We start from the raw sequence: 20,256 nt of genomic DNA on the forward strand, positions 1-20,256 counted from the left end.
CACGGACTTTATTAAGAATGTAGAAATGTGGCCTGGCATGGTGGCTTACAACTGTAATCCCAGCACTTTGGGAGGCCCAGGCGGGCAGATCACTTGAGTCCAATTGTTCAGGACCAGCCTGGGCAACATAGTGAGACCCTGACTCTAATAAAATAATTTTTTAAAAAAAGATTAAAACATGTACCTTGAAAAGCATTTTGGCCCAAGAATAATAACGATCACACTTGAAGAACAAAGCTTTTCTTTAAAAAAATTTTCCTTTAATTTTCAAATTACTATTCACAAAATAGCAGTGGCTGTTAGATTTTGTTCTTGGCCAAATGGAAAATTTTGCCCTAATTAAAATGTAGTCACTCTCCAGTGTGTTACCATTGAACAAATCACTGAACCTTTCCAAGTCAAAGTTTCCTTAGTTGGGAAGATTGAGTTAACACATGCAAAGGGGTTAGAGCAATGCCTGAGTATATAGAAAGTATTCAATAAATGTAAATTATTAGTCTTGAGAACTGTCTGTAGGATGTGACCCAAAGTTCTCCCTTCTATTCAGGTGTAATTAGGATATAATGTCCTTCAAATGGCAGACTTAAAGGGGGAAAAAGTCACTAAGAGGTGACCAGAAGGGTTAGAGCTGAGCAAGAGAGGTTCCTGCCCTGAGCCCTGCATTTTAGAGTGCCTAAGGTTACATACATACACACACACACGAGTTAAAGAAGACATGGATACCATAACCAGACACATGAGTTAAAGAAGACATGGATACCATAACCAAAGACATTACTAGGAAAGAAAACTAATACCAATATCCCTTTTGAATACAGAGGCAAAAAAAAAAAGTACTAGCAAATGAAATCCAGCAAGATATCAAAAGAATTATACACTGTGATCCATTGGGATTTATCCCAGGAAAGCAAGATTGGTTTAACATACGAAAATCAGTAAATCCAGTATATTAATGGGATAATTCACAAAAGATAAATACATAATCATTTCCATAGACACAAAGCATTTGACAACCTCCAGTAGCCTTTCATGATAAAAGCAGTGAACAGACTAGAAGTAAACAGGAACTTCTTCAACCTGAGAAAGGATATCTATGAAGACCCACAGCTAACATCATACATAATGATGAAAGACTGAAAGCTCTTATCCTAAGATATGGAACAAGAAAATGATCTCCAAGCTCACCACTTCTATTCAGCATTGTACTGGAGGTTCTAGCCAGGACAATTAGGCAGGTAAGAACTTAAAACTCAGGGCCGGGTTCAGTGGCTCATGCCTGTAATCCCAGCACTTTGGGAGGCCAAAGCAGACAGATCACCTGAGGTCAGGAGTTCAAGACCAGCCTGGCCAATATGGCAAAACCCTGTCCATACTAAAACTACAAAAATAAGCTGGGCATAGTGGCACACACCTGTAATCCCAGCTACTCCTGAGGCTGAGGCAGGAGAATCATTTGAACCTGGGGTGGAGGTTACAGCGAGCTGAGATTACACCACTGCACTCCAGTCCAGGTGACAGAGTGAGACTGCCTCTCAAAAAAACACAAAAAAAGCCGTAAAAATAATAAGACAAATGACCCAATTTAAACATGGGCAAAAGGTCTGAATAGACATCAAAAATAAACATGAATGTGAAAATGTGCTCAACATCATTTGTCATCAGGGAATTGCAATTTAAAACTATAAGTTATCCCTTAGCACCCACTAGGATGGTAGAAAGCGAAAACACTAAAAATGCCAAAAGATGGCAAGGATGTGGAGCAACAGGAACTCTTCATTGTTCATTGAAATGTGACATGGTACAGCCTCTTTAGAAGACAGTTTGGTGGGCTCTTAAAAGAGCTAGGCATAGCCTTAGCATTGATCCAGCAATCATGCTCCTGTTACCAAAATGACAGGGGGTTCAGTCCTGCTGCTCACCACACAGAATGTCAATCACTGAGACAATGAATGTTGCCATGAAAGAAGTATTTCACTGGGTGCTGCAGCCAAGGAGAATGGGAGATAAAGTCTCAAATCCCTGACCAACTACAACTGGGGAGGCTTACATAGTGAGGGAAGGAATTAAGGGGGGTAAAGAAGCAATTATGATGAATGAGGGGGTCTGGCATCTTATTTCGATGTGGTGATCTGGTGAGTTTAAGTCCCTTGCCTGAGGATCAGTTCCCTGAGGGAGGAACTCAGATGAGACAAATGTAAATTTCAAGTTTTAAGACCTGAAGGGTCAATTTCCATGTGTGTTCCAAAACTTTTAAATGTCATTTCTATGGGACAGTTGGAACAGTTTCACTTCTAGGTATTTACTGATTTGAAAACTTGTCCACATAAAAACAGCACACACGTGTTCATAACAAGGTTATAATTGGTTAAAACTTGAAGCAACACACATTTCTTCAATAAGTGAATGGATAAACAAACTGGTACATCCATATGATGGAATACTATTCAACAATAAAGAAATGAGCTATCGAGCCACAGAAAGTCCTGTATGAACCTTAAATGCATACTGTTAAGTGAGAGAAGTCATTCTGAACAGGCTGCATACTATATGAGTCCAACTATATGACACTCTGGAAAAGACAAAACAATAGAGAATAAAAATGTCAGTGGTTGCCAGAGTTTGAGGAGAGGGAGGAATGAATAGGTGAAGCACAGGAGTTTTTTAGGGCAATGAAACAATTCTGTATGATACTGTGATGGTGTATACATGACATTGTGTATTTGTGAAAACATATAGAACTTTACTGCACAAAGGGTCAAAATTTTATGTAAACAATTTTAATCATTTAAGAAGTCAGGGAATCACAGGAATGCAGACTGTGACAAGAGAACATAACTATTAGTACAAATGTAGGAAACAAACTCAAAAGAGTAGGGGTGAAAGGTGCTGATCTAAGTAACTTTGGAAATTACTGAAGTTTGTAAGACTAAAGGCAAAAGGAACTGCAAGTAAGCAGTTCCTAGTTGATACAAGTTGTTTCCCATGGGGGTTATAGGGAAGCTTAAACATTCCCTCTGGAGGTTTGATAATTAAGTCTGCTGAAATGAACTGACAATAAACAGATTAAGAAGAGAAAGACCATTTTAATTACATACATGCAAATGGAAGCCTCAGAAAAATATGAGACTCAAAGGAGGAGGCAGATGGTTGAAGGTTTCATAGCATAAAATGAATAGGGGCTTGAAGGGGAGGTGATGACAGTTATGAGAGGAAAAGGAGAGGAACTGCATGGTGAACAAAGATTGTCTTATGTAAATAAAGTCTCTCAGGTCATAAAAGTTGTTTAGGAGTTTTTTATTGCTGCTGAAGAATAGGCAATAGCCTGTTTTGGTGTGGTGACAACTTTTAATCTCCTCTGGTGATAAATCTTTCCTGGTTGTTTGATGAAATTCCTAGGGAGGAGTCTCAACACAAATGTATTCCTTTTGGAAGAACTTCCCTCAGTCAGAGAAGGGAACTTCAGGAGAGCCCCTCCCTGCACTTATGGGAGTAGGGTGAGAAACAAGAGAAAGCCAGACAGGCCTCCATGGGGGCAGCTTCTAAGGCCTTTCAATTTCCTTTAATTCTAAGTGCTCAGCATGTTAAAGGACCATACGTTGGGGTATCATTTTCTGAGCCTTAACAGGATATAATTCTGATATTAACAACTCTGCTATTGCCTTACATGTATACTGGAATTAAACAAATTGATGGCAGATCGTGGGAGCCAGGTTTCTCACTGTTGGATTGGGAATTTACATTTAAGCAAAGGAAGGATGATCCATGTGGTAATGGATCAATTGGAGACATCAGCATGAACTCACATTTAGCTTAGTATAGATACAGAAGGTTACATATAGAAATATTTCTAGATTACAGTTAGTATATTACAGTTAGTATGCACACATATATTTCCTTTCTTTGTCAGCTCAGACAGCCTAGAAGCAATGATGCTCCAGTAGCAAGGAGCACATTTAGCACCCAGATCTTGATTTTTATACCATTCTCCAACAACAAAAAAACAGGGTTCTTTGGAGAAATGGCTAATTCTGCTACTAAAGAAGGAAATCAACAAGCTGAGACTGGAGCATCTTGTAGTGCCAGAAAGTAAGGAAATGCTAAAAAAAAAAAAAAAAAAAAAAAGAAAAAGAAAGAAACCTACATTGATGGGGGTGTCAAAGGAGTATAGAAACAAATTGTAAAAGCTCCCAGTGACCAAATCTGGAATAATTTGAGCAAGATAATAAATAAAGTAGTACTGGATTATAAAACAAAATATAAAAATCTGAGTCCATACTGATATAAATAAATGATTGAATCAATAAATAAATGGGGTAAAGACAAATCTAACTTTGCATAAGAATTCTAAATAACTTATGTAGCTATTTCTGCCCACGAAAAGGGGGACCATAAATTCCTACTCCTTTAGTGTAAGCTATACATAGTGACTTCCTCCCAAAGAGTGTAGAATGGAAAGTTGAGGGTGGAGGAAAGGGAGGGGAGCAGAGTAACTTTACTCTGGGGAAACTTGACAAATGACCTCAGCTAGGTGATCAAGGTCAATATGAACAGTCATAAATCATGTTGGTAGTATATGCCATTGACAGGATGTGATAAAGATGGTACATTAACTCTGTGGTCTTGCTCCCCAAACCCATAACCCAAGACTAATCATGAGGAAAAGAATCAGATAAATTTAAATACAGGGTCATCTACAAAATACTTGAACATTATTCCTCAAGGTCTTGGAAAACAAGAAAAGTCTAAGAAATTGTCACAACCAAGAGGAGTCAAAGAAGACATGATATGTAACTGTAATGTGGTGTCCTGGATGAGATACTAGAACCAAAACAGACAGGTAAAACTAAAAATCTGAATCAACTATGGTCTTTAGTTAATGATGTATCAATATTGGTTCTTAATTGTAACAAATGTATCATAATGTAATGATATGTATAATATCATAGGTATGTATCAATACATAATAATATATATTGATATGTATAATAATGTAATATAAATGTACCATAACTAATGTTAGTAATAGGGGAAACTGGCTATGGGATATATAGGACCTTTCTGTATTATCTTCTCAATTTTTATGAAAATCTAAAACTATTCCATGAAAGTCTACGGTAAATGAAAATGTGCCAATGCCAGAAATGGTGGTGCATGCCTGCATGCCTTCAGTCCAAGCTACTTAGGGGTCTGAAGCAGGAGGATCCCTTGACCCTAGGAGCTCAAGGCTGCAGTGAGCTATGATCCTACCACTGCACTTCAGCCTGGGTGAAAGAGGGAGACCTGCCTATAAAAAAAAAAAAAGAAAGAAAAAAGACAGACAATTATAAGCATTGACAAGGATGTGGAGAAAGTGGAAGCCTCATATATTGGTTGGTTGGTTGCAAAATTGTGCAACTACTCTAAAGCAGTTTGGCAGTTTCTCAAAGCTCACATACAATTACCACATGTCCCAGTAACTCCCCTGGCATGGATCCAATAGAATTGAAAACATGTCTACAAAAAGTGTATGCACATCCAGCCTGGATGACACAGCAAGATGCTGTCTTAAAAAAAAGTATGCACAAATGTTCATATAGCATTATTCATAACAACAAAAAAGTGGACACAACCCAAATATTCATTAGCCGATGAATGAATAAACAAAATATAGTATCCATACAGTGAAATATTATTTAGCCATAAAAGTATGCACAAATATTCATATAACGTTATTCATAATAGCAAAAAAAAGTAGGCACAACCCAAATATCCATTAGCTGATGGATGAATAAACAACATGTAGTATCCATGCAATGGAATATTGTTTGGTCATAATATTATTTGGCCATTCCATAAAAAGGAATGAAATACCAAAAAATGCCCTTGATATGGATGACCCTTGAAAACATTATGTTAAGTGACAGAAACCGGACACAACAGGTCACATTTGTGGTATTCTGTTTACATGAACTATCTGGAATAGGCAACTCCATACAGATACAAAGTAGATTAGTGGTTGCCAGGGCCGGGAGCAGGAAGGAGTATAGGGATTGACTGCTAACACCAACAAGTACATGGTTTCTTTTGGGGGTAATGCAACATTCTAGAATTAGTTGTGATGGTTGCACAACTTGTGACTACACTAAAAAGCATTTTAATTAGGTGGATTTTATGGTATGTGAATTGTATCTCCTTAAAGATATTATAAGAAAAAGAAGAAAAGGAAGGAAGAGGAGAAAGAGAAGGAGGAGCAGCAGAAGAATGAGGAGGAGGACAACAACCACCTGGTACCTCTGGTTTAGAAACTGGTAACTTGTGACTCTGAACATTTGTTTCTGGGAAGAATGCTTTAGGCCCCAGGAAAATGCTACTCCACTTACTTTCTGTCCTCAAAAACAAAACATAACTGTGCCTAATGCTCTGGGTTGGGCCATTACCACCATCAGAGAGTGACACAGCTTTGGGGTGCAGGGAGAATGTGGACAGAAGTGCTCAGTCAGATAGATAAGAGATAGATTAATTAACCTGACAGCTCTTCCTCTCAGCATAAATGTAACAGATTCATGAATAACAATGTACAGTTTTCAATTCCTATTACTTAGAATTCCAATTCCTATTACTTTTAAATCTGTGTACGTGTAAGTCTAGAAATTTGATACTGGTTCTTTATATTACTGTATAGATTTAGCAGATGATGAAAAAGACAGCATAAGTGATAGCTTATGTGATGAAATTAAGATTTTTTGTTTTCTGCAATAATAATTTACCAAATGTGGCCCCATTAGAATGTTTGAACATGATACATACATTTCATGGTTTGTTTTCAACTCTGTCTCAGCAGAGTGACGCTTTCTCAAATTGAAATTAATTAAAAAAAAAATGTCAAAGACCTACACTGACTGAAGAAAGATGGCCTCATTTGGTATCATTGTTAATAGAATACCAACTATGTGAAAATCTTTTTTATAATATAGACCAAAAAGTGACTGAGGCAGGTCTCAATCAATGAGAGGTTTATTTTGCCAAGGTTGAGGATGTGCCAAGGAAAACCATAAATCACAAGAGCATCTGTGACCTATGAGTTTTCTAAAGAGGATTTCGTGAACTTGAATATTTAAAGGGGAAAACGTAAGCAGGAGAGGGGACAAAAAGAGGTGGGAGTGAGCATGAGCAGTGAGGTAGATGGTTAGATTCTTGTGAGGCTCTGATTAGCTTCACTAAATCTACATTTTACATGTGAAAAGTGGGAGGAGAGGAAAAAGTCGATTATGCATTGTCTCATGCTCAGTAAATCTACATTTTTACATCAGATGAAGTAAACATGTGAAAAGAGGGAGTAGAGGAAATAAGGCTGACATGGGGTTGTGAAATTACAGTTATCTGTTTGGGCTCAAAAGAAATACAGTATTGATCGATTACCAAGTTAATTTCCCAAGCTCAACTTTGCCTTTGGCATAGTGAGTTTGGGGGCCCTGCAATTCTATTTTTCTTTTACATTTCCCCCCTGTATTATCCCATTTTCATGCTGCTGATAAAGACATACCCAAAACTGGGTAATTTATAAAGAAAAAGAGGTTTAATGGACTCACAATTTCACTTGGCTGGGAAGGCTTCACAATCATGTTGAAAGGTGAAAGGCACACCTTACACAGCAGCAGACAAGAAAGAGTTTGTGCAGGAAAACTCTCCCTTACAAAACCATCAGATCTCATGAAACTTATTGACTATCACAAGATCAGCATGGAAAAGACCCAGCCCCATAATTCAATTACCTCCCACCAGGTCCCTCCCATGACAAATGGGAATTGTGGGTGCTAAAATTCAAAATGAGATTTGGGTAGGGACACAGCCAAACCATATCACCCCTGTTCTTCAAAATATTTCAAAGAAAGTACTGTAGAAGAAAATAAATCATCACTAGAATGATTTATTCCTAGAAGGCTAGTATCCACATGGCTAGGAAGGCTCATTTCTAAGATGTCATGAAGTCTCATACCCCACAGAGAAAGATAGGGGGAGAAAGGAAGAAAGAAAAAAAAGACCAAAAACAGAAAGAGAAAAGGGACCAAGGACAAATTGTAGCAGCAAAGGGAAAGCAATTCTGGAAAACCAATTCAGCCTGTACTACTGAGAAGTCCATACATCAGTGGCAGGCACGAAGGTGGCATATATGTATGTGTGTGTGTGTGTATATATGTGTGTGTCTGTGTGTGTATATATATATATATGTATGTATATATCTGTGTGTATATATGTGTACACACACACACACACACACACATATATGCATAGGTTGCTGTTATTTCTACTGAATTTTAAGGTGTCTAAGTGCAGTCTGGAGGGCTTTAAGGAAAGCACAGTTTTAGTTTCTAGTGATTCCAACTCAGAAAAATGGGATAAAAAAATTGATTAATGTTAGTTTGGAAACATGTAGTCAAGAAAGAATTCAGAATCCAGTCCAAATAAATTGTAGACAAATAATAAAAACTGAAAAAAAAATGAATAAAGCTAGAATCTAACAGGTATACTATAGTGAACTCAGCTCACTACAACCTCCTCCTCCTGGGTTCAAGCAATTTTCCTGCCTCAGCCTCCAAAGTAGCGGAGACTACAGGCATGCACCACCATGCCTGGCTGATTTCTGTATTTTTAGTTGAAACAGGGTTTCACCATGTTGGCTAGGCTGGTCTTGAACTCCTGACCTCAGGTGATCCTCCCACTTTGGCCTCCCAAAGTGCTGGGATTACAGGCGTGAGCCACAGTGCCCAGCTATCTTTTGAAACATAACTTTTTTCTCTCAATCCTTTATTTTTACCAAAGACAAGTCACAGAAAGACCAATTTATTTGCAAAAAGTTTTAGTCTCATTATACTTGGCCTGATTAGTTGCATAAAGTACAGCAAGAATAATTATTGGCCAATAGGCTTTTTTTAAATTGGCTTTGCTGGAACTTTTTCATAAGGAATCTCAGATTAGACTTTTAAAGCTTTCTCAAGCACAGCCAAGAATTTGTCTGTGCCTGCAGATACCTGTCTCAATTCCTCTCTTCTTGAGGTCCCAAAATAAATGAGATTCCTGGGCCTGTCAGAAAATGACATTCTCTACTTACCACAGGTCAATAACCCTATAAAGGAATTTCATAAACAATGTACAAGGCCAGTTTTTCCAAGGGTTTTTTTTTTTTTGAGATAGATCCTCACTCTGTTGCCCAGGCTGGAATGAAGTGACATGATCTCAGCTCACTGCAACTGCTACCTCCTGGATTCAAGCAATACTCATGCCTCAGCTTCCTGAGTAGCTCGGACTACAGATGCATGCCACCATAACCAGATAATTTTTTTTGTATTTTTAGTAGAGATGTGGTTTTGCCATGTTGCCCAGGCTGGTCTCAAACTCCTGAGCTCAGGTGATCTGCCTGCCTCATCCTCCCAAACTGCTGGGATTACAGACATAAGCCACCATGCCCAGCCTCCAAGGGGCTTTTATTGGCTCTCTAACATCATCTCAATTTCTCAAAGCATTCTGGTCATATCTGAAAATATGCCATGCCAGTCAAAGCTTTGGTAAAATAACCAGTGTCTCCAATTATAGCCTATTCCAAAAGAAAACAGATTCTTGCTGAACTTATGCAAATAACTATATTGTTATAAGTTAAGAATACTTACAAATAGTTTCTAAATTCTGGAGAAATCAGGTAGAGAAAAGGAAATATGCTTCAAATTTGGCTCACAAGGGTATACTTTACAAAACTGTTAAAAGCTAAAAATAGATCGATTTTTTTCTTGACCAAAAAAACACAAAAATATCAGCAATGTTTCAAACAAAAAAGTCATAGAAACATTATTTCAGTCCTCTATTAGTTCAGTCCCATGCAATTAACTCATTCCATTTGATTGGGGTTAGCAAGCCTCATGAACACATTAGCTCTCCAGTGAGAATCCTGGAAATTTTCTCTCTAGCCTAATGGCACAATGTCTAAAATTATCTGAAATCTGCCTTTAATAGCACCCAGAAGAGTCTTTTCCATAAATTTCCCAAAAAAAGCAAGTTGTTGTTGTTGTTGTTTTCTGTAGCCGACTATAAACAGCTTTTTGGGAAGAATCAAAGTAAAACAATAATTGTCTGTGGATGACAAAAGTCGTAGGACAGTCATGGTTAAAAACACAATTGTCAAGGAAATTTGGTTATCTTTTTGGTATGTAACAATTTAACATAATATAATTATAGCTGATAACATTAAGACAGCAGAATTATAGGAATCTTATACAATTTTGGAACACATATTAATAACATATAAAATATAACCCAAAGAAAGTTAAACACCATTTCATATTTGACATCTCTTGTATAATTTTTAACATAGCAAATAAGCTCAATATGTCTCCTTTGGACTTAAGGGGACCTAATATCTAAAAAAGTTAATGAGATAAAAAAGAATTTAGAACTTGAAATTTTGATTTTGGAAAATGTGTTAAATATCAAAGATTTAAAACACTTGATATCACAAAATAGGTACACAGGTCACTGTAAAATAAGTCATTAGTTTAGCCAAATGATAATTCAAGGATTTTAAAAGCAAAAACCACTGCACTCAGCAGCTCACACTTGTAATCTCAACACTTTGGGAAGCCAAAGTCAGAGGATCACTCGAGTCTAGGAATTCAAGACCAGCTTGTGCTACATAGTGAGGCCCTCCCTGTACAAAAAAAAATTAAAAATTAGCTGGGTGTGATGGCGGGTGCCTGTAGTCCAAGGTACTTAGGAGGCTGAGGTGGGAGGATTGTGTGAGTCTGTAGGTTCAGGCTGTGATCAGCCATGATTGTGACACTGTACATTCCAGCCTGGGTGACCAACAAGACCCTGTCTCAAAATAAATAAATATAAATTTAAAAAATAAATGAATAAAAATATTTATTAAATAAATTAAGCAAAAACTTTTACTGTTTTATGGAGAGGAGACTCAGTTTCCCAAACAATACAATCAAAATAAGATAGCGTATTAGTCAGTTCTCATGCTGCTAATAAAGACATGCCTGAGACTAAATAATTTATAAAGAAAAAGAGGTTTAATGGACTCACAGTTCCACATGGCTGGGGAGGCCTCACAATCATGGCTGAAGGCAAAGGAGGAGCATGCACATCTTACATGGTGGCAGGCAAGAGAACTTGTGCAAATAAAATCATCAGATCTCATGAGACTTGTTCACTACCACGAGAACAGTATGGGGGAAACTGCCTCCATGATTCAATTTTCTCCACTTGGTCCCGCCCTTAACACATTGGGATTATTATAATTCAAGGTGAGATTTGGGTGGGGACATAGTCAAACCATATCATTCTGCCCCTCACCCCTACCAAATCTCACGTCCTCACATTTCAAAACCAGTCATGCCTTCCCAACAGTTCCCCAAAGTCTTTAATCATTCCAGCATTAACCCAAAAGTCCAAATCCAAAGTCTCATCTGAGACAAGGCAAGTCCCTTTCACCTATGAGCCTGTAAAATTAAAAGCAAGATAGCTACTTCCTAGATACAATGGGGGTACAGGCATTGGGTAAATACACTCATTCCAAATGGGAGAGATTGGCCAAAATGAAGGGGCTACAGGCTCCATGCAAGTCTGAAATCCAGCAGGGCAGCCAAATCTTAAAGCTCCAAAATGATCTCATTTGACTTCATGTCTCACATCCAGGTCATGCTGATGCAAGAGGTGGGTTCACATGGTCTTGGGCATCTCTGCCTCTGTGGCTTTGCAGGGTACAGCCCTTCTCCTGGCTGCTTTAACAGGCTGGTATTGTCTGTGGCTTTTCCAGGTGCATGGTGCAAGCTGTTGGTGGATCTACCATTCTGGGGTCTGGAGGACGGTGGCCCTCTTCTCACAGCTCCACTAGGCAGTGCCCCAGTGGGGACTCTGTGTGGTGGCTCCAACCCCACATTTCCTTTCCACACTGCCTTATCAGAGGTTCTCCATGAGGGCTCTGCCCCTGCAGCATACTTCTGCCTGGACATCCAGGCATTTCCGTACATCCTCTGAAATATAGGTGGAGGTTCCCAAACCTCAATTCTTGACTTCTGTGTACCCACAGGCTCAAAACCACGTGAAAGCTGCCAATGCTTACGGTTTGCACCCTCTGAAACAATGGCCTGAGCTCTATGTTGGCCCCTTTTAGCCATGGCTGGAGTGGTTGGGACACAGGGCACCAAGTCTCTAGGCTGCACACAGCAGCAAGGCCCTGGGCCCAGCCCACAAAACCATTTTTCCCTCCTATGCCTCCAGGTTTCTGATGGGAGGGGCTGCCCTGAGGACTTCTGATATGCCCTGGAGACATTTTCCCCATTGTCTTGGCAATTAACACTTGGCTCCTCATTACTTATGCAAATTTTTGCAACCAGCTTGAATTTCTCCTTAGAAAATGTTTTTTTTTTTTCCTATCACATCATCAGGCTGCTAATTTTCCAAACTTTTATACTCTGCTTTCCTTCTAAACATAGTTGCAATTCCAAACCATAATTTTGTGAATATATAAAACTGAATGCTTTTAACAATACCCAAGTCACCTCTTGAACACTTTGTATTTCTTAGAAATTACTTCTACTAGATGCCCTAAATTATCTCTCTCAAGTTCAAAGTTCTGCAAATCTAATGCAGGGTCAAAATGCCACTAGTCTCTTTGCTAATGTGTAACAAGAGTTACCTTTGCTCCAGTTCCCAACAAGTTCCTCATCTCCATCTGAGACCACCTCAGCCTGGACTTTATTGTTCATATCACTATCAGCATTTTGGTCAAAGCCATTCAACAAGTCTCTAGGAAGTTCCAAACTTTCCCACAACTTCCTTTCTTCTGACCTCTCCAAACTGTTCCAACCTCTGCCTGTTACCCAGTTCCAAAGTCTCTTCCACATTTTTTGGGTATCTTTACAGCAGCACCCCACTCTACCAGTACCAATTTACTGTATTAGTCAGTTCTCATGCTGCTAATAAAGACATGCCTGAGACTGCATAATTTATACAGAAAAAAGAGGTTTAATGGATTCACAGTTCCACATGGCTGGGGAAGCCTCACAATCATGGCTGAAGGCAAAGGAGGACCATGCACGTCTTACATGGTGGCAGGCAAGAGAGCTTGTGCAGGGGAACTCCCATTTATAAAACCATCAGATCTCACGAGACTTATTCATTGCCACAAGAACAGTATGGGGGAAACTGCCACCATGAATCAGTTTTCTCCACTTGGCCCCGCCCTTGACACATGGGATTATTACAATTCAAGGTGAGATTTGGGTGGGGACACAGCCAAACCAAATCAGACAGCATGAGGCCAGATGAATTTGTCACTCAACTGTCTTTTTTTCCAGCTCATTCAAAAGATAAATGTTTTCTTATCTCTTAGTATTTCACAAAAATCTTTTTAAAAGAGAAAAGCAAATTTTACCATTACATTAGTGTATTACTAATGCTGAAGCCAATTTTTAGTAAAACATTGTCAACAAATCCATCTCAATCTCAATCAGTTTGATCACAAAGTAAGATTTCCATAAGTCTTTTTATAACCTTTTTACAGTTTTCTATTAAAGAACAAATCAATGCTCCTGTAAAACTCTGTTATTCCAATTCAAGGGCCCAGACTCTAATATCAATGTGCTTTTGATATTAATATTTACTGTATAGAAAAAGTAAATAATCATTTTAAATTTTAGACAACTTAACTGCACATACAATTCCTTTCACAAGGTCAGTCTTCTACAAACCTTCTACAATTTGCTTAAACCTTCAGTTTTGTCCTGTCATCTTACTTTAGGACAAAAATTTACCTTCTTTTCCAACTTTTTATATTTGTGTAGTTTTATCTGTCCTTTTTTTATTCCTTTAATTTAAAAAAAAAAAACCTTTAAACTAGGCAAAATTACTTTCCTTTTAACAAAAACCACATTTTCATGCCTTCTGATAACTTTTCTTAAACCAAAAACATGTCCTACTTCCCTTATACACTTTCGATGGAGAATTTTTTCTCTTGTATTTAGTAATTTCAATTATATACATTTATTACAATGTTAACTTTTAGTAACTCTTATTTTTAGTGAAAAACCTTGGAGGTAAGCCGTTTTAATTATGTACCAGATGCAAAGTCCAGAACAAAGGACAATGCCTGGAGCTAGGCCTAGTCATAGCCTAAAAACTTAAATCTAAAGATAAAAGGCTGGGCACAGTGGCTCACGCCTGTAATCCCAGTAGTTTGGGAGGCTGAAGTGGGTGGATCACCTGAGGTCAGGAGTTCAAGTCCAGACTATGCCAACATGGTGAAACCCTGTCTCTACTAAAAATACAAAATATTAGCTTGGCGTGGTGGCACACACCTGTAATCCCAGCCACTCAGGAGTCTGAGGCAGGAGAATTGCGTGAACTCAAGAGGCGGAGGTTGCAGTGAGCCAAGATCGCGCCACTGCACTCTAGCCTAGGTAACAGAGCAAGACTCCATCTCCAAAAAATTAAATAAATAAATAAATCTAAAGACATAAGTTTATAGACAAGTTAGGTATCAAAACAAATCATAGAAGCAAGTTTTATGCCTTAAAACATCTGGTAGAGATAGTATCTAATCAATAGACTCAGACAAAATGTCTAAATTAAATTCTGAAGACTTTTTTTATTTTACCAATAATTTTTAAATTGTCTTAATTTACTAAAGATTAATAAAGTCATGTGAACTACAAGGCATTTGAATTAAAGTTTCTATTTTTGTGATAACACATTTGATTTAAGCACTTCCTTTTTTCTTTAAGCCAATTAATTAGAGCCCTTTTACATATTTTGGTAGTGAAACATCACATACACACAACACGTATAAACACACAGACCCATAGACAGTAGCAGATCTTATATATTTATAAGATTCTTCATTTGCCAGTTCTCAAAATCTCACCTCCACTTTAGACTATCAGTCTCTTGATTACCTGTTTCCTGCCCTAAACAATTGTCAGCTAGGCAACCCTAAATTTACATTTCTAAAGGGACAGCTCTTATGTGAAACAAGGTAGAAAATTTATATCTCAAAGCACAGAGCTAAGGCATTAGGCCTAAATATTGTAACATCATTTGCTCAAACCAAAGGGGTTTTAAAGGGTGTAAGTAAAAGTTCAATTAAGAGACCAGGAAAACCACCTTAAGCAAAGTATGACTTGTCACATTAAAACAATGGTAAATGTTTCTAGTGTATACCGGCAGACACCCTTACAAAATGGGAATTTTCTTAAAGATGTTTCTTTTACAAAGGAGTTTAAAGATAGCCAGCTAAATGCCTGAAAGTTGTATTTTGGAATTTTGGCTTAGCTTGTTTTCTTAATTAGATTACTGGCTTCATGGTGATACAGACAGAAGACAGGGAAATACTGGGTAGAAGAGAGCAGTTCCCTGGTAAAGGTCCCACCCTCAAGCCTGGATACCTGCGGCCCTAAGTGAGAACAGGCATTCCTGTTTTAGTACTCGAAAAGTTGCCTTTTGGCCCACCATGCCGCCTATCCTGTACCCATATAAACCCTAAACCCCTGGCTCCAGGAGGCAACAAGCAGACAAATGGTAGAACAGTGCAGCAGAGAAGAAAAGAAACATTGGGAGGAGTTTGGCTGGGGAGAATCGGCCACTGGATGGCCAAACTCCAGGGGAAGATTATCTTCACACTCCATCCCCTATCCAGCTCCCCATCCATCCTGCTGAGAGCCACCTCCAACCCTAATAAAACCCCACATTCACCATCCTTCAAGTTTGTGTGTGACCTGATTCTTCCAGGACACTGGACAAGAGCTCGGGATACAGGAAGCTGTCACACTTGCCCTCTGCCCTTGCAGAAAGGCAGAGGGTCCACTGAGCTGGTTAACATTTAAGCCATCCACAGATGGCAAGGCTAAAAGAGCACACTGTAACATATGCCCATTTCAGCTCCTGCACCTGTCTGTCTGCATGTTCCCCCTCCCATAAGGGGGCTTCGAGCAGCGGTGGTGACCAAACAGGCATGCCACATCCATGTTACACATCCTCAGGGGGGTGTCAGGGAACTCACTCTCCCGCCTCATCGGGTGGAACCATTTAGTGAATACAGAAAGGAAAGCATGCAATTTTTAGGGCCTAATATTTAAATATGTGAGAAGCAGGTATAGCTGGAAAGCAAAACACAGGTCCCCCAAAATTTCAAGGATCCCATTTTTTATACCAAATACTGGGTCCCCAAAAAGAAGCAAAAGCCATGGGACAAGACAGTACAATGCTTCCACAGTGCACCTCACTGCAAGGACATTCCTTCAAGTCTGATGGACAACTCAACCCCAATCAGCCCATTTTGTGATCGGCCCATATCCTATGGGATGAGGACTCAGAGCAATGAAGATCGCAAAGAAGAAGGAGGAATAGTGTGGAGTAAATATAAACAGGAGAACAATTTTTTTTTAAAGAAAGCCAACAAAGATACTAAGCACATAATTTTTTTTTTTTTTAAGTTTTAGCCAGCCAGGCATAGTGGCTCACACTTGTAATCCCAGCACTTTTAGAGGCTGGGGTGGGGGGACTGCTTGAGACCAGAAGTTTAGAACCAACCTGAACAATACAGTGAGACCCCATCTCTACAAAAATATTTAAAAAGTAGCCAGATGTGGTGGTGCACACCTGTAGTATCAGCTACTGAGGAGCTGAGGTGGGCAGATCACTTGAGCCCAGAAGAGCATGGCTACAGTGAGCCCTGGTTGTGCCACTGCACTCTAACCTGGGCAACAAAGCAAGACCCATCTTTAAAAAAAAAAGTTTAAGTCAACTAAAAAAAAAAATTCCAAAAAACAGGAAACAAAAGGTGTTGAAAGCATAAAGGCTAGATATCAGCTTCTAATTAAATTGACTTCTAACCATAGAGCTCTCTAAAAAAATCCTTTCAGATCTTTTGTTACCAGATTTTAGCTGGGACAAACGGTTGATTTTTTTGCTTTTGAACTTCTTTTGCAAAGGTATCTTCCCCAGTGTTTCAACCAAGGTTATAACAACCACAGACACATGAGATGTCTCCAAAGAGGTGGCAAGCAGTTTTTTACAAGATCTAGAATCACCCCAAAGACAGCTCAGAGAAGGAAAATTTCACTATCCATAAAGAGGGTATAGACCACATTTCTTTCAGGACATGTTCTCTAGGATCTTAGCTTCTCAACTGACTGTCCACACACAAAGGCTCAAAAGCCTTGTGTGACCCCAAACAGACAGAAGAAAACAGGAAATCAAAAGCTTCCCAAGGAAAGGGAATGGATCAATAATAAGTTGGTACCCTAAAAGACATTCACACAAGTATCAAACCAAGAGGGGTGGGTTCCCTGACCAGGAATCAAACCCATGCAGTGGAGGTAAAACTGCAGAATTTTAACTATTAGGCCACAAGGTGGAGTAGCCTTTGTTGTTCCCAGATTAGGAAACGAACTCAAGCCCTGATGGGAATTTTAACTACCAGAACTATTTTAGGTCAGACTTTTTTGCACCTATTTTAGTCAAGAGAACTTTTTTAGGCTAGCCTTTGTCCTGTAAAACAGTTTATCTTTTTCATTAATTGCTTAATATAAGAGATCACTAAAATCTTTAACAGCACAGAGAGAGAGGCTGGGAAGGCAGTCTTACGTAAATAAAACCTCTCAGGTAGTCAAATTTTGATTTTTCTTAACCAGCCAGGGATTTTAGAGGTAAAATTTGTCTTTCGGCAGCTGCAGGGATTTCAGTTGACATAAGAGGGGACCAGAAGTTGGTCAAATCTAACAAAAGATGGACTGAAACAAACAAACAAAAACAGAAAAAAGTGATCTCTGCCTGCAGCCTAGCCATCCTCCCACCCATTCCTCACAATGCATTTTCCACCTTTAAACTCTTCAATGACTTCTCATCACTCTCAGGATGAAAGATGATGCCCAAACTTAACAAGACCAGACCACCCTACCTACCTCTTCACCTCATCTCTTAAAATTTACATATAGCCTAGATCTCTGATTATAAGGAGAAGTGATAGCCAGCTGACAATTAACTTTGACCTACAGCTACCAAATACCAAAATGAATCCCCAAATCAGCCTCTTACCTGGAGATGGGGTCTAAGCTAAAGGCTACTCTCCACCATCACGGAAGTGGGAAACTCATCTTCCTTGCTGAAAGTAAACTAAACTCCCATAAAGGAGTTCTGCAGCAGAATTAACCTCATCTCAACTGAAAATTTGGGCGAGGTCAGGGACCTCTGAAGGGAGAAGCTCCCAGACCTCAGCAAATCATCCCAATAGTCATAGAAATAAAAATAGCCCCAGCTGGCCAGGCACAGTGGCTCACACCTGTAATCCCAGCACTTTGGGAGGCCAAGGCGGACAGATCACGAGGTCAGGAGTACAAGACCAGCCTGGCCAAGAGACCAGCCTAGTCAATATGGTGAAACCCCATCTCTACTAAAAATACAAAAATTAGCCCAGTGTGGTGGCGGGCACATGTAATCCCAGCTACTCAGGAGGCTGAGGCAGGAGAATTGCTTGAATCCAGGAGGCAGAGGTTGCAATGAACTGAAGATCATGCCATTGCACTCCAGCCTGGACAACTGAGTGAGATTCCAACTCAAAAAAAAAAAAAAAAAAAACAGAAAAAACCCCCAGCCAGTACCAGGCATTGATAGGAGAGTTGTTGCTGGCCAAGGGCCAAATCTACCCGGAGAATCCCTCTGTAGCTACCAAAACGGAAGCCAAAAAGTGACTGAGGGAGGTCTCAAACGATTCAAGGTTGATTTGGCCAAGGTTGAGGATGTGCCCAGGAAGAAACACAAATCCCAGGAGCATCTTTGACCTATGATTTTTCCAAGGGAGATTTTGTGAACTTTAGTATTTAAAGGGGAAAGAGCAAGCAAAAAGGGGAAAAAAGGAGATGGGAGGAAGGGTAGGCAGTGAGGCAGATGGTTACAGTCTTGTGAGGGTCTGATTAGCTTCACTGAATCTACATTTTACATGTGAAAAGAGGGAGTGTGGAAGAGTCCATTGTGTATTGTCTCGTGCTCAGTAAATCTACATTTTACATAAGATAAAGTAAGCATGTGAAAAGAGGGAGTAGAGCAAATGAGGCTATGACACGGGTTGTGAAATTACAGTTATCTATTTGGGTACAAAAGGAAAAAAGTATTGGTGGCTTGATTCCCAAGTTTAACTTTCCCTTTGGCATAGTGAGTTTGAGGTCCCGATAGTCTACTTTTCTTTTACAATAACAACACAATTTATGATTTTGCTGAAAGGAAGCCAAGAAGAACAAATTATATGGAAAAATATATGATAATTTATTAATCAGGTCATTATTTTATTACTCATCCAAATATCACCAGCTCAGCTGAATGCCCAGGCATGATCAAAGATAATTCAATTTAGATACATTTGATATTCTGTCAACTTTTAGTCACATAAAAACCATAGTTTCATACATGTTTTTCATTCTTGTGGTTATGAAGACACTTTCATCAATCTGGGAAAATACAAATTACTTGATGTACTGAATAACTATCTCTACCATGTACCACTTTGCTAACTTTTCTTAGTCCTCTGGTCCAGATATATTCAATGTTCCCTAATTTGTAAGGGCAGCCAATTGCAAACTGCTGATCCCACGAATTCCAACTCTACATGCTCTTACCCTTGCCTTCTTTGCAAAACACTCTGGATTTTCTTTGTCCTGGTTTCTCTTTTAGATATTGCTGGCATTTCCCATATTCCATCTCTTATGATTCTTGTTTACATAGCCACTAGGCAGCTAAAACAACAAGAGAGCCAGCAATATGTTCTATTTCTCTGTCTCTTTTCTGTCCCTCCCTCCCTCCCTCCCTCCCTCCTTTCTTCCTTCCTTCCTTCCTTACTTCCTTCCCTCCTTCCCTCTCTCCCTCACTCCCCCTCCTTTTGTTTCTTCCTGTTTGCTGTCAACCAGCTATCCATCACCTCCATCACCCTACTGTCCCCTTGTCATTCATCTTCCTGCAGCCAGCTGCCCAGCCTCATCCTCACTGCTACACCCCTGGGAAAACACAAATTACTTCATTACTGGATGACCATCTCTACCATGTATCACTTTGCCAACTTTTGTTAGTCCTCTCGTCCAGACATATTTAATGCTCCCGGATTTATAAGGGCAGCCAGTTACAAACTGCTAATCCCACTAATTCCAACCCCACATGCCCACAACCTCTGCTCACCATGGTACCTACCTGAGCAGCCCACACTCTACCCTCCCTCCATCCCTTGACCACTTCCCT

At 39.3% G+C, this 20,256-nt stretch overlaps 1 protein-coding gene across 7 annotated transcripts in view; it reads right to left on the bottom strand.

Moving 5' to 3' along the window:
• SUMF1 (sulfatase modifying factor 1) overlaps positions 1-20,256 on the bottom strand; it is a 432,784-nt gene that overhangs the window by 282,886 nt on the left and 129,642 nt on the right. The window lies entirely within an intron of this gene.

The sequence above is a fragment of the Homo sapiens genome, chromosome 3 (assembly GCF_000001405.40).
Source record: "Homo sapiens chromosome 3, GRCh38.p14 Primary Assembly".
Lineage (NCBI taxonomy): Eukaryota > Metazoa > Chordata > Mammalia > Primates > Hominidae > Homo > Homo sapiens.